Source organism: Homo sapiens, chromosome 17 (genome assembly GCF_000001405.40).
Source record: "Homo sapiens chromosome 17, GRCh38.p14 Primary Assembly".
In the NCBI taxonomy this organism is placed as follows: Eukaryota; Metazoa; Chordata; class Mammalia; order Primates; family Hominidae; genus Homo; species Homo sapiens.
The window spans coordinates 36,513,935-36,529,218 of record NC_000017.11 but is presented as its reverse complement, the minus strand read 5'-3'; the positions used below and the strand labels follow the sequence as shown (position 1 = coordinate 36,529,218).

The 15,284-nt window shown below is 44.3% G+C and overlaps 1 protein-coding gene across 37 annotated transcripts in view; it reads left to right on the top strand.

The window, feature by feature from the left end:
- The window catches only part of MYO19 (myosin XIX), a 49,180-nt gene that overhangs the window by 15,597 nt on the left and 18,299 nt on the right, over nucleotides 1–15,284 (top strand). For 20 of the 37 annotated variants that reach the window (XM_047436835.1, XM_047436826.1, NM_025109.6 and 17 more), the window contains 6 exons: nucleotides 1,017–1,155; nucleotides 1,520–1,668; nucleotides 3,878–3,991; nucleotides 13,229–13,361; nucleotides 14,037–14,106; nucleotides 14,671–14,773. In XM_047436835.1, the coding sequence (XP_047292791.1) occupies nucleotides 1,017–1,155; nucleotides 1,520–1,668; nucleotides 3,878–3,991; nucleotides 13,229–13,361; nucleotides 14,037–14,106; nucleotides 14,671–14,773 (708 nt within the window). Of the gene's footprint in view, nucleotides 1–1,016; nucleotides 1,156–1,519; nucleotides 1,669–1,762; nucleotides 1,856–3,877; nucleotides 3,992–13,228; nucleotides 13,362–14,036; nucleotides 14,107–14,670; nucleotides 14,774–15,284 lie in introns of those variants that run through there. The other 17 variants (XM_047436823.1, XM_024450955.2, XM_047436837.1 and 14 more) reach the window with 2 other exon arrangements.

Below are 15,284 nucleotides of genomic sequence, written 5' to 3'. Positions count from 1 at the left end.
CACTGCACTGCAGCCTGGGTAGCAGAGCAAGACTCCATCTCTTAAAAAAGAAAGGAAAAAAAAAAGATAGGCAAGGGAGGAGAAAGGACCTGTTCCCTTGGTGCTTATTCTTGACCTCAGACAGCCGTCTGAGCCAGGCTTTCTCTCAAGCAGACTCGGGCCAAGGGAACCAATTCATTAGCCAGCCTAAATTTAAGCCACAAAAGGCAGGTGATGAAGACATGGGGCTACCTCTCTCAGAAGGTACAGCTGTTTTACATCAAAAGCTGAACTGTCTCTTCCCAAAAAGGCCTAACCCATGGTTCTTTTCCTTTGCAACATTCCTATAGCCTTATTTCTAATAAGGCTAGTAGCCTGGAAGTGCTACTTGCAAGTGGCCGGAGCTCTTGGCAGAAGAGATAGCATTTGTTGAGTACATGCTGTATGCCGGGCACTGACTAAATGCTTTGTATATCTCTTCTTTTCTTCCCAATAACCTTGTCAGTTGAGTTTATTTTCCTTTATTTACGAATAAACAAACTGTGACTCAAAGAGGGTAACTTACCCAGGCTCACAGGGCTACTAAGAGGCAGAACTGAAATTTGAACCCAACCAGACTATGATACCAGAGTCTCCTTCTACTATACAGGTTCCCACCCTTCTGTAGCTGCCAGCTGTTTTGAGTACCAGCTGTCGCGGCCTTCATGTTTTTTGGTTTTTTTTTTTTTTGAGACAGAGTCTTGCTCTGTCGCCCAGGCTGGAGTGCAGTAGCACAATGTTGGCTCACTGCAAGCTCCGCCTCCCGGGTTCACGCCATTCTCCTGCCTCAGCCTTCCGAGTAGCTGGGACTACAGGTGCCCGCCACCATGCCTGGCTAATTTTTTGAATTTTTTTTAGTAGAGACGGGGTTTCACCGTGTTAACCAGGATGGTCTCGATCTCCTCACTTTGTGTCCTGCCCGCCTTGGCCTCCCAGAGTGCTGGGATTATAGGCATGAGCCACTGTGCCTGGCCTCACCTTCACGTTATCTCTTCCAGGTCAATGGCCACAATCCGGGGTCTGATGGCCAAGCCAGGGAGTACCTCAGAGAAGACCTGCAGGAGTTCCTGGGTGGGGAGGTCCTGCTGTACAAACTGGATGACCTCACCAGGGTGAATCCTGTGACACTAGAGACAGGTATGGGCCTCCCATTCCTCAGGAGTATCATCTCCAGGAGGTTGGAGGTGTAATGAGAGTAGTCAGCACAGCTTCTCCAGGTCAGACGGAGGTCGGCAGGACTCCTGATCTGGAGCCAGGTGGGCTGCTCCAGACCTCCGCCTGAGGGAGCATGACAGCTGCACCTGGGCTCCCCAGGGCATGCTTTGCTTCAGATTTGGAGCTCATCTTAATTAGATCTTGTATCTTTTCTTCAGGGAGCTGCTGGGATTTAATGATTCTTGGCTAATTGCAGAAAGAGGGCTGTTACTTAAGTAGATGTGTGTCTGTGTGTGTGGTTTGACTATATTTGAGCCCGAGTTTGCTAAAGGCATCTCTGCCTCAGTCCTGAGGTGCCTGCAGGCCCGGTACATGGCAGACACATTCTACACCAATGCTGGCTGCACCCTGGTAGCCTTGAACCCCTTCAAGCCTGTTCCTCAGCTCTACTCGCCCGAGCTAATGAGAGAGTACCATGCTGCGCCTCAGCCCCAGGTAAGGCTCTGCCGCTGCCTGTGGCCTCAGGGCTCCTCTACCTCCCGCTAAACCTCTTTGCAGTTACCCCTGTCCTTATTCATCTATTCACCAGCAATGTGGTCATTCAGAGTCTGCTAGTGCCACGGCCTGCCCAATAGGAGCTGGCAGAATTTTGAACCATGAAGAACTGACTACAGGACAGAAGGTGCAAAGTGGGGAATAAATAAATATTTGTTTAACTGAGTTTGGAACCTAAAATAAGAGACATAAGAGAAAGGATTTTTTTTTCTTGTTTGCGGTTTTATTAACAGGAAAGGATTTATAAAGGTATTATATATTTGTTTATTTAACAAACTACCTTTTTATTTTTTATTATTATTTATTTATTTATTTATTTATTTTGAGATGGAGTTTCAGTCTTATTGCCCAGACTGGAGTGCAATGGCATGATCTGGGCTCAGCGCAACCTCCACCTCCTGAGTTCAAGCAATTCTCCTGCTTCAGCCTCCTGAGTAGCTGGGATTACAGGCATATGCCACCACACCTGGCTAATTTTGTATTTTTAGTAGGCATATTGGTCAGGCTGGTCTCAAACTCCTGACATCAGGTGATCTACCCACCTTGGCCTCCCAAAGCGCTGGAATTACAGGTGTGAGCCACTGTACCCGGCCCTATTTATTTTGAGACTGAGTCTCTCCCTGTCACCCAGGCTGGAGCGCAGTAGTGCGATCTTGACTCACCGCAACCTCCGCCTCCAGGGTTCAAGTGATTCTTGTGCCTCAGCCTCCCGAGTAGCTGGGACTACAGGTGCCCACCACCATGCCCGGCTAATTTTTGTATTTTTAGTAGAGATGGGGTTTCACCATGTTGGCCAGGCTGGTCTCGAACTCCTGACCTCAAGTGATCCACCTGCCGTAGCCTCCCAAAGTGCTGAGATTATAGGCATGAGCCACTGAGTCCAGCAAAACTACCTTTTTAGGAAAGAATGAAATTATACACGATAAGGATTGCCCTGGAAAATTCAGCATATGTTTATCTCTGCTGAGGAAAGTAACTTATTCTTTTACTGAGAAAAGGATAAGTTATTTGGGGTGGGGTGGTGGAGGTACAGACAGATAATGAGCTTGTTGGTGTAAAAGTGCATGATGCATTCAGGGAGAGGTGAGAGAAAACTTGCTGGCAGGAGGGAGGTCTTGGGGGCAAGAGGGAGTAGATGAGAGCAGGAAGACGAGAAAGCCAGGGTTGTTTGTGAAGAGTCTGAAGCACCATAGCAGGCAGAGAGAATCTGCAGAGCATCTTCATCCAGGTAGAGGTGGGACTGGGAACAGAACCCACTAGACGAATAATTACTGTGGGAGTTGGGTTCAAGAAGGTGAGGCAGGAGGCAGAGACAACAGTTGGAGGCTTTGTATCCCTCCAGGTGATAGGTGGCTGGGGCAAGGGCAGGTGTAGAGAGGAGTGGCTCTGACGCCATATGGAACAGTTGCCTTCTCCCTCAGCAAGCTGTGGGTAAGTGATCACTGCTGGCTGGGTTAGCTAGGCATTGTGGAGATGGCGTGGCCCTCCAGAAGTTCATGCGTGATGAGGTATCCAGTTGGAATCCAGGGGCAGTCTGTCCTGAGAGCCCTGTCTGCTGTCTGCCCTGCCTCCGGAAAAGTAAAAGCCAAGTCGTAGTCCCCTATGTTTCCTCAGCATCCAGCTTGATTGATGCCTAGTACATTGAAGACAGTTAATAGTTGTTGAAGAAAAGGGGAACAGTGGCTTTGGAATTTAAATCACATGGATATACTTACTTGCTGAGTGGCCTTGCAAGGTTATTTAACTCCTCTGAACCTCACATTCCTTATCTATAAAATAGGGTTATATTTCCAATTAGTGGACAGGCTTCTTAGTAGTTTATACGAACTTTGCAAATTGCAAATTATAGTAATATGAAGTAATAGGCAGAAGGATAAGACAATTAAAGCAAGATAAGATGGGGGTATAAAGTGTTAATGTCATAAACTGGTCAAGGCTAGCCCTGCTTCTAGGCTGAGAGAAAATGAATAGGTAAAGCCAACATAGGGGTTCTAAAGTTGGGCCTAACAATGTGACATCCAGAAAATTTTTCTGGAGGAAGCATCCCACCACTGCTATTGGCAGCCTCCCCATCTCAGTCATCATTGGCTCAGTCATCATTGAAAAACAGGCATTCCCTCACATGACCTTTCACTCCTTGATGTTCCAGAAACTGAAGCCCCATGTGTTCACTGTGGGTGAACAGACCTACAGGAATGTCAAGAGCCTGATTGAACCAGTCAACCAGTCTATTGTTGTCAGTGGAGAGAGTGGTGCTGGAAAGGTAGGAAGACGTCTTTCCCATCCTGTCAACTCACGACTGGCTGGGTGGACAGGGAGGCAGGGGTCATTCCTTGGCCTTCCTTGTGGAGTTGTTTGCTTCCTAATCATTCCCACATAGGCTGGCTGAAGCTGGGGTTGGTGCACAATGGTGGGCTAGCACTGAGCCGGAAGTCAAGAGACAGGATACCAGTCCAGGCTCTACTGCAAGCTCTGCCATCACCCTGGGTGAAATAGGAATGAAGTTTCCTTTCTAAGCCTTATTTTCTCATCGAAAGTGTCTCCCAGCTCTTGACACTACTGGAAACAAAAGTCAGCTGCTGGGGATTCCAGCATAGTGGTTAAGAACACATCAGAAAAGTACGTAGCTTCTGCAAAGCTCTCAGTTCTTCCACTTGTAAAATGGAAGGGAAGGGAGGACCAACACCTGACTCATAGGACTTCTGTGAGAGTTAAATGAGTCACTGTACATATGGCACCTGGTGGCATGCTTGGCATGTGGCAGTGCTCCTCCAAAGTAGCTGGGGTTCTTGTGGGAAAAAGTTTATTGGAGTAAACCACCTGAACCCTCTGGGTTGCGCATGGTGGCAAGGGCAGTATATTGGGCCAGGTGTTGGGGAGGACAGAAGCTCCTGGTATGGCCACGTGGCCTTCTGGGTAGCAAAACCACAACAGGTGAGACAGGATGTTGCATACAGATGAGTGGGGAGTTGCACAGCTAGTCAAAGGAGACTATTGGCCAAGGCCTTGCCACCTTCTTGACAAGCCTCACCCAGCTGCCTCGCCCTTTCCACAACACTTTTACCTTCATGAGGAACTCTTTGGACCATAAACTCCTTCTGCCTTCACTCACATATGAGAATTGCTGAACACTGAGAACTTGCCAGGTTCTAGGCTTCTGGCTGGGCACTGAGGGGTGGCAGGGGGATGAAAAATGCAACATGTAGCTTTCAGGGGGCACTTAGTCTGCTGAGAGACAGATAAGAAAACAAAGACAGTAAGTTGCAGGGATGAGGGCTTGGACTTGGGTTAGGAGGGGATCTCTAGGAGCTATATCAAGGTGGCTAGTGAAGTGGCTTATGCCCAGCTTCTCAACGAAGCCTTGTCCCCCAGAATTGCTCTGGGGAACTGAAGCTGAACCTGGTCCAAGACTCATTCAACCAGAGAGCTAGGTAACCCTTTATTGAGCAGCCACTGTAGCCCTGGGCTGGGCCTGGTATATTTTCAAAAATTTATTTTTAATAAATAGTAATGTAGTTACATAGTTCAAAAAATCAAGCAATACTACAAGGCTTATAAAGAAAAACAGCAAACCTGCTCCTTGTCTTTCAACCTTGTTCCCTGTCTCCAGATGCAGTTACTTGCACATCTTTTATCAGTTTATTTGGGTGTTTACATCCGTATTTTTAAACTACTGCTTATGTTGTTACTGACTTTTTGGTTTTGGACCTTATCTGTTCACTTCCTACTTTGATGAGGATTTAACCCTTATTTCCCTGCCCTCAAAATACATATTCTGTATATAATTATTTCATAATTTCTAATTAAGTTAATAAGCAGTATTTACATGGTTATGGTCATGTGTATATGCATAGCAGAGCCATATAATATACTATATATTCTTGCATAATTTTTATTTTCCCTCTGTTTTCCCTGTTTAATAGTGGTGTACAAAAACTAAACCAGTGAAAAAGTGGGGCAAGTAAAATAAATAATAAATAAATAATTGCCCCATTTTTTCACTTGTTTAGTTTTTATATACCATTATTAACTCATTACCAGACTTGTCACCAAATCTGGAAAACACCTGTCAAACTGGCAAGCAAATCAGCTTCTTTCATTGGAGATACCCTTCCTAGAGCTCTCAGACCATATCTTTTCTTCTGTCTGGATTGGTGCCTGCTGAGGGCTGCTGCCACACAGCTGTTGCATGGAAGCTTCTTTGCTTCTGCACATCCCCAGATTCCCATCTGTCCTAGGATAAATCCCCCATGGCAGGAACCCATAGCGTTCTCTTTATTTTGTTTTTGTTTTTTTTTTTTTTTTTTTGAGACAGGGTTTCTGTTGCCCAGGCTGGAGTGCAGTGGCACAATCTCAGCCCACTGCAGCCTCCGCCTCCCCAGTTCCAATAATTCTCATGCCTCAGCCTCCCGAGTAGCTGGGATTACAGATGCATACCACCACACTCAGCAAAGTTTTTTTTTTTTGTTTTTTGTTTTTTTTTTTGAGACGGAGTCTTGCTCTGTTGCCCAGGCTGGAGTGCAGTGGCACAATCTTGGCTCACTGCAACTTCTGCCTCCCGGGTTCACACCATTCTCCTGCCTCAGCCTCCCGAGTAGCTGGGACTACAGGCGCCCGCCACTACGCCTGGCTAATTTTTTGTATTTTTAGTAGAGACGGGTTTCACTGTGTTAGCCAGGATGGTCTCGATCTCCTGACCTCGTGATCCACTCGCCTCGGCCTCCCAGATTGCTGGGATTACAGGCGTGAGCCATCACGCCTGACCTGCTAAGTTTTATATTTTTAGTAGAGTGGGGTTTCACCAAGTTGGCCAGGCTGGTCTTGAACTCCTGGCCTCAAGTGATCTTCCCGCGTTGGCCTCCCAAAGTGCTGGGTTTACAGGCATGAGCCACCACGCCTAGTCTCCATGGCTTTCTTTTTCTTCATTTACTGCCTTGTTTTGTTTTTATGAACCATATTCTATTTTTTTTTTTCTTTTTTTTGACCAAGTCTCGCACTGTCGCCTAGGCTGGAGTGCAGGTGGTGTGATCTCGGCTCACTGCAACCTCCGCCTCCTGGGTTCAAGCAGTTCTCTGCCTCAGCCTCCTCCCGAGTAGCTGGGATTACAGGCGCCTGCCACCAGGCCCGGCTAATTTTTGTATTTTTAGTAGAGACGGAGTTTCATCATCTTGGCCAGGCTGGTCTTGAACTCCTGACTTCGTGATCCACCTGCCTCGGCCTCCCAAAGTGCTGGGATTACAGGCGTGAGCCACCACGCCCGGCCAAACCATATTCTTTAGTGGTTTCCTGAACAAGGTACCTGGAGGGCAAATTGTTGCACATCTGAAAATGTCTATTCTGCCTCAAATCTGATGGATATTTTGGCTGGGTTTTATAATTCCAGGTTAGAAATAATTTTCTTTCTGAATATAGAGACTTTATTTTCTTTTTTCTTTTTCTTTTCTTTTTTTTTTTTTTTTTTTAAAGACAGTCTTGCTCTGTTGCCAGGCTGGAGTGCAGTGGCACAATCTTGGCTCACTGCAACCTCCGCCTCCCGGGTTCAAGCAATTCTCCTGCCTCAGCTTCCCAAGTAGCTGGAACTACCAGCATGCACCACCACACCCAGCTAATTTTTGTATTTTTAGTAGAGATGGGGTTTCACCATGTTGGCCAAGATGATCTCGATCTCTTGACCTCGTGATCCACCCTCCCCGGCCTCCCAAAGTGCTGGGATTACAGGTATGAGCCACTGTGCCTGGCCGAGGTTTTATTTTCATATATTGCTGTTGAGAGAGCCAGTCCATAATGGTGATTTCTTTTTTCCCCCAAAGGTTTTAGGTATTAAAATTCACAGTGCTGTGTTGTGGTATAGCCTTTCTTCACTTATTATGCTGGGTACTTTGTGTGGGTCTTTTTAACTTGGAAACTCATGTCCTTTTGTTCAGGAAAGTATTTTTGTGTTATATCTAATAATTTCCTCCCCTGTTTTCTCCTTCTGGAACTTCTGTGAGGAAATTTGGTTAGTTGTGTAATCATGTTTTTCTCACCTATCCTCCTTTCTCTTTATTTTTTTAATCTTCTGAGAGATATTCTTTTCTTTACCTTCCAATTCTTTGGAACTTCGAATATTTGTTAAAAATTTTAATTCTACATTCTAGTTTTTTTCTAACATTTATGATATTTGTCATTTCACGTAAAAGAGGCTTATGAAATAATGATCCTAGAGTGTCTGTTCATATTTAAAATAAGGCATTAAACAACTGATTAGAATCTGTGTTTACGTACAAGATTGTCAACCAATGGGGCCTCACTGTAAGTAGCTTTTTAAACTTGTGGGATCCCTGAATGGCCATAACTTTTCCCGTGAGCTTATTGGTGTCTCCAGAAAAGATTCCTCCAGTCTTTCAGCAGATAGGTGGAAACTATAAAGAATCAAATGGAGATGATAAAAATTTAAAACATGATAAATCTTTGGGCATATCAACAGACTAGACATGCAAAAGAATGCATTAGTGAACTTAACTGTTGGTGAATAGAAATTATCCAAATTGAAAAACAAAGAAAATTGCATCCAAGAACTGTAGTACAATATCAAATGGTCTGCCATTGAACAATGCAGAGGTTAGGGGCACCAACTCCCCACGCAATTGAAAATCTGCATATAATTTAACTGCTGATTAACTACTGTTGACTGGAAACCTGACAAATAACATAACAGTCAGTACGTATTTTGTGTGTTATATGTCTTATATACTGTATTCTTCCAATAAAATAAGCTAGAGAAATGAAATTAAGAAAGTCAGAAGGAAGAAATATATTTACTACTTAAGTGAAAGTGGATCCTCATAAAGGTCTTCATCACTGTCATCTTCACTTTGAGTAGGCTGAGGAAGAAGAGGACAGTCTTGCTTGGTCTTGCTGTCTCAGAGGTGGCAGAGGTAGTGGAAGTATAATAGAAGGGGAGGCAGGAGAGATTTATTGAAAAAAAACCCACGTATAAGTGGACCCATGCAATTCAAACACGTGTTTTCAAGGGTCAACTGTACTTGTAATTGGTGTCCTAGGAGTAGAGAGAGGACATGGGTCAAAAGTAATATTTTTACAAAATTAACCAAAGATGGCAAGCACAGATCCAAAAAGCTCAAAAATTGCCAAGTAGAATGAATACAAAGAAAACACATTTAGGCACATTATGGTCAAAGTGCTGAAAACTAAATATAAGAAAAAAATCTTAAGGACCAGGTGCAGTAGTTCACGCCTGTAATCCCAGCACTTTGGGAGGCTGAGGCAGGCAGATCATTTGAGGTCAGGAGTTTGAGACCAGTCTGGGTAACATGGTGAAATCCCGTCTCTATTAAAAATACAAAAAATTAGCAGGGCATGGTGGTAGGTGCCTGAAATCCCAGCTACTTGGGAGCTGAGGTGGGAGAATTGCTTGAACCCAGGAGGAGGAAGTTGTAGTGAGCCAAGATCATGACAGAGTGAAACTCTGTCTCAAAAAAAAGGAAAAAAAGTATCTTAAAGGAAGCCAGGAAAATAAATATTACATAAAAATGAACAAAGATAAGAATGACCATAGGAATCTTGACAAAAACTGTAAGCCCACAGATAAAAGTGACACCTTTAAGGTGCTGAAAGAAAAAAATCTGTCAACTTAGAATTCTGTTATCAGCAAAAATATTTTTCAACAATGAAAGTGAAATAAAGACTTTAAGACAAATAGAAGTTGAGGGAATTCATTGCCTGCAGACTTGCACTGCAAGAAGTGATAAATTCTTTAGTGCAAAAGAATATGAAAACCAGATAAATATTTGGATCTACACAAAGGGGTAAGTTTCAGCATCACAGATGTAAAATCTTTTTTTTTTTTTTGTCTCTTTAGAAGATAATCACTATAAGGCACAAATGGTAACAATGCTTATATGATAGAATGGAATCATTAAAATGCCAAATTTAATCAAAGGCAATAAGAAAAAAGGGAACTAAGATCACATGGGACAATTTAAAAAAATAAGATGGTAGATTTAAACCCAGGCATAGTGACAATTACGATAAATATAAGTGGTCTACTCGTGGATAAGTTCAAACTAAATGGATGGGAAAAAATATAACATCCTAACATTCATAAAGGAAAGCTGAAGTGGTTACATTAGAACAAGCAATGTTGCTAAGGATAAGATGAGACATTTCATAATGATAAATGGGTGAATTCATCAAGAAAACAGTTCTAAACAGGTGTGTACCTAATTACAGTTTCAAAATACATGAAGTAAAATCTGCTCTCATTGAAAGGAAAAATATATAAAATCAAAACTACATTTTGAGGCCAGGCACAATGGTTCACACCTGTAATCCCAGCACTTTGGGAGGCCAAGGCTGATGGATTGCTTAAGTTCAAGACCAGCCTGGGAAATGTGGGGAAAACCCATATCTACAAAAAAATACAAAAATTAGCCAAGCGTGGTGGCTTGTGCCTGTAGTCCCAGTTTACTCACACAGAGCAAGCAAGACTCTGTCTAAAAACAAAAAACAAAAAGATTAAAATGATACAAACTATGTTCCTTGAGCTGAATAGAATTGAATTAGAAATAAACAACAAAGACACCTAGAAAATCCTAAAACATTGGGAAATTAAACAATGCACTTCTAAATATCCTATGGGTAAAAGATAAAATCACAATGATACTATAAAGAAAAAAAATCTATCTATCTGTCTATCTATCTATCTCACTATGCCTGGGTTTAAATCTACCATCTTATTTTTTAAATTGTTCCGTGTGATCTTAGTTCCTTTTTTTATTGCCTTTGATTAAATTCAGCATTTTAATGATGCTATGCTGTCATATAAACATTGTTACCATTTTTGCCTTAGTGATTATCTTCTAAGGAGACATATATATACATACTTTTATATATATATACATACTTTTATGTATATACATATATATACACATACACATATATATATATATATATATATATATTTTTTTTTTTTTTTTTTTTTTTTTTTTTTTTTTTTTTTCCTCTGAGATCCTCTGGCCCAGGCTGGAGTACAGTGGTGTGATCTCAGCTCACTGCAACCTCCACCTCCTGGGTTCAAGTGATTCATTTGCCTCAGCCTTCTGAGTAGCTGGGATTACAGGTGCATGCCACCACACCTGGCTAATTTTTGTATTTTTAGTAGAGACTATGTATTTTTAGTAGAGACGTTATAGTTTCACTATGGTGGCCAGGCTGGTATCAAACTCCTGGCCTCAAGTGATCAGCTCGCCTCAGCTTCCCAAATTGCTGGGATTCCAGGCGTGAGCCACTGTGTCCAGCCTTGTCTGAAATTTCATTACCAAGTCGGTATTAGAAAATATTTTGAACTAATAAATTAAAATGAAAGCACAACATCTTCATTACCTCTTTTTTTTTTTTTTTGAGATAGTTTCGCTATTGTTGCCCAGGCTGGAGTGCAACGGTGCGAGCTCAGCTCACTGCAACCTGCGCCTCCCGGGTTCAAGCGATTCTCCTGCCTCAGTCTCCCTAGTAGCTGGAATTACAGGTGGATGCCATGACACCCAGATAAGTTTTGTATTTTTAGTAGAGACAGGGTTTCACCATGTTGGTCAAGGCTGGTTTTGAACTGCTGAACTCAGGCAATCCACCCACCTCAGCCTCCCAAAGTGCTGGGATTACAGGCGTGAGCCACCGCACCTGGCGTCATTACCTTATTTAATCTTAATTACCTCCCGAAGATCCCTTCTCCAAATGCAGTCACATTGGGAGTGAGGGCTTCAAAATATGAATTTGAGGGGAACACAATTCAGTCTGTGGCATACCTTAAGAAGCTAGAGGGGAACAGAATAAACCCAAAGTATGCAGAAGAAGGGAAAAAGTAAAGATGAATAAAATAGAAAAATTAATGAAATAAAAGACTTTTCTCTGAAAAGATGAATAAAATGATAACTCACTGGGTGCAGTGGCTCACGCCTGTAATCCAGCACTTTGGGAGGCCAAGGTGGGTGGATCACCTGAGGTCAGAAGTTAGAGACCAGCCTGACCAACATGGTGAAAGCCCGTCTCTACTAAAAATACAAAAATTAGCTGGGCATGGTGGCGAGCGCCTGTAGTCCCAGCTCCTCAGGAGGCTGAGGCAGGAGAATCACTTGAACCCCGGAGGCAGAGGTTGCAGTGAGCCGAGATCGTGCCACTGCACTCCATCCTGGGTGACAGCAAGACTTTGCCTCTAAAGAAGACAAACAAACAAAAAAATGATAACTCTCCAGTCAGACTTATAAAAAGAGAAAAAAGATGTAAATCACCAGTATCAGGAATGAAGGAGTAGACATCAATATAGATCTTACAGATTAAGATAATATTTTGAATAACTTTATGCCAAGAAATTATACAATTTAGATGAAATGGAGAAATATTTTGAGAAACGCAAACTGCTGAAGATCACACAAGAAGAAAAAGAACCTGAATAGCCCCTATTTCTGAAAGAAATTGAAGTCATAGTTAAAAGCCCTCCCACAGAGAAAGCTGTAGGCCCTGGTGGCTTCACTTGTGAATTCTACCAAACATTTAAGGAAGAAATGTTACCAGTTCTACATAAAGTCTTTCAGAAGATAGAAATATCTCTGATCCCAAAGAAAAATCTAAAGAATCTACAAAGTAAGTTGCCACCTTACTGCAACTAAAAAGTTGTAGAGCGTTTAGTGAGGTGATAGGATACAAGGTCAATATGTAAAGACAGTGTATTTCTATGTCCTAGCCACAAACAATTAGAAGTTAAAATGAAAGTATACCTCACTTCAGCTGATTAAGAACAAGAGTATGAATTAAAATTAGACTGCTTGGGGCCAGGTGCGGTGGCTCACACCTGTAATCCCACTTTGGGAGGCCAAGGTGGGCAGATTACGAGGTCAGGAGCTCAAGACCAGACTCACCAACATGGTGAAACCCCGTCTTTACTAAAGATGTAAAAAATTAGCCAGGCGTGGTGGCGTGCGCCTGTAATCCTAGCTACTTGGGAGGCTGAGGCAGGAGAATCGCTTGAACTCAGGAGGCAGAGGTTGCAGAGAGTTGAGATTGTGCCATTGCACTCCAGCCTGGGAGGCAAGATGAGACTCCGTCTCGGAAAAAAAAAGTTAGACTGCTTGGGTATAAATGGGAGCCCTGTCATTGAGTAGATGCATGATTTTTAATAAATTTTTAAATTTCTATGCTTTGGTTTTATTGTTTATAAACAATTGTATAATCACACCTTTGCAGAGTTTGCAAAAAAAACATACACAGAAAGCCTCGATAGCTCAGTGTCTGCCACAGAGCTGAGAGAAACAGATGTCTACTCCCATTTTACAAACAGAGGTAGAGGAAGTGCCTTGCCTGAGGCCAGGGTTGAATTCTGCCTTCACCCATTTTGTCAGCAACACACTGGTGGAGAAGAGAGCTCTGGTGGGCACTGTTCTCTCAGGCAGGCTCAGAAGTGGGCGGGAGCATAGATACAGCTCCCACAGGGCTGTTTCTGCCACAGACATGGACGTCTCGCTGCCTAATGAAGTTCTATGCTGTGGTGGCCACCTCACCTGCATCTTGGGAGAGCCACAAGATTGCAGAGAGGATAGAACAGAGGATCCTGAACTCCAACCCTGTCATGGAAGCTTTTGGTGAGCTTGGGCTCCTTTGCACAGTATCTCAGTCCCATTTCCTCTGGGATTTTCCACCTTCCAGGGAGAGGGACAGTGCTTTGAGACCCTCTCTTGGGTGGGGGTGGAGGATGAGTGTATCCTTCACTGCCTCAGATCCCCAACCTCTCCCTGGTACTCCTTAGCATCATTCTAACAGAGGTCATGTCATTCAGTCCTCTTCCTCGCTCCAGCCTAGGCACACATAACAGTCGTGCTGGAGAAGACCTGGTGGCTTAGCTCGTCCAAATTCTGTCTTTCTATCCAGTTTCCTGATGGTTCAATGAAGGGTACTTGTTAAGGGATACAAGGTGATTAGTGTTTGTGTTGGCACTGGAACCCAGATGTGCCTTCCTGTCTAAAGTCAGTAGTGACAGCTGATTGTTTTTGACCTTTCCCTTCAAAGAAAGGTCCCTGACTGCCTAGGCTTGCTCATTCCAATTTCTTGCCAGGAATTTCTTCTAACTCCCCTGAATCCCACTTGCTAAAGCATGAGGGCCCATTTTCTAGTCCTGTCCCCTATGACATGAAAACCAACAAAGGGGCCTTTAGGTGACTTGAGCACGGGAACATGACCTCCAGAGACCTGCAGCCACCTTGGCTTATGAGGACTCTGCAAACCCAGGGGAGTGAAATAAACATAGGTGTGATCTGTAGGGAATGCGTGTACACTGAGGAATAACAACAGCAGTCGCTTTGGGAAGTTCATCCAGCTCCAGCTGAACAGGTAATAGCTGCTGTTGCCCTGGCTAGTGGGAGGATGGGACTGGGGAGGTTGAAAGTGGCTGGGGCAGTATCTGGCCTGGGCCACCCCTATGGGCAAAAACCCTGCTCCTCCTGGTGCATGCCCTTTACCTCAGGTGTGAGCTCTGAGGGTGATCTTTGCACCTGGAGAACTATAGCTCCTCTCCCCTTGGGGAACCCTGGGGCAGTGCGCTTATTCAGGCCTGGGTTCCTCCTGGCTTTTACTCTTGCTCAGGGACTTCAAGCTAAATTGCCACCTCTTTGGACCATATCCCTGAGCTTGAGGCTGAGACTTCGACTCCTGTCTTGGGGTAGAGCAAAGTGATGTGCAGAGGCCTTGGCCCTGCCCACCTGAGCTAGATGCAGGGGAATATTCCAGGACACCCAAGGACATTCTGAGTGGTCCCCACCCCTCAGTGCCCATTGGCTAAGTGGAAGAGCTTGGCGGGGAGTTGCCAGGTAGCAGGCAATCTGGCACACCCAGATTGCCAGACATGGCTATGGAATGAATGGGCAACTAACGGGCTCTGGCCTGTGTGTGTCCCAGGGCTCAGCAAATGACTGGAGCCGCAGTCCAGACCTACCTCCTAGAGAAAACTCGAGTGGCCTGCCAGGCTTCCAGTGAGAGGAACTTCCACATCTTCTATCAGGTTTGTGCCAAATGGGGCCACAGCCCCCCAGATGCGAGACAGGGATGGGTCCGTGTTTTTCAACCCCCCACTCCCCAGAATGCTCCATACCTGGTTCCTTCACCTAGCTTTTGATGGAGCCACCACTTTATCCTGCAGACTTTACATGCAGCACTTCTGCCTCACACTGCGCCTTGGCTCCCAGCACAGTTGTGGCCTGGGAGTATGTTTTACCTCCTCCATCAGACCAGAAGGTCCTTGAGGCTGGGACTGTATCTCTAGGGTGGAAGCCGTGTCACTCTTATCATTTTAAGGGCTCTCCTAGAATGGCATCTGTCGCTAACAGAACAAGGGCTTCCCTAGAGTTGTGCCTTTTCCATCGGACTGGGAGTCCCCCAAGGCATGGATAGGATATCTCCCTTTCTCTCAAAATCGGAGCATCCTTAGGTGATGGGTATGCCTCCCACGTCAAGACGACGGACTCCCTGGGCAGGAGTTGTCCTTTTTTCACCAGACTGCAGGTTTCCCTAGA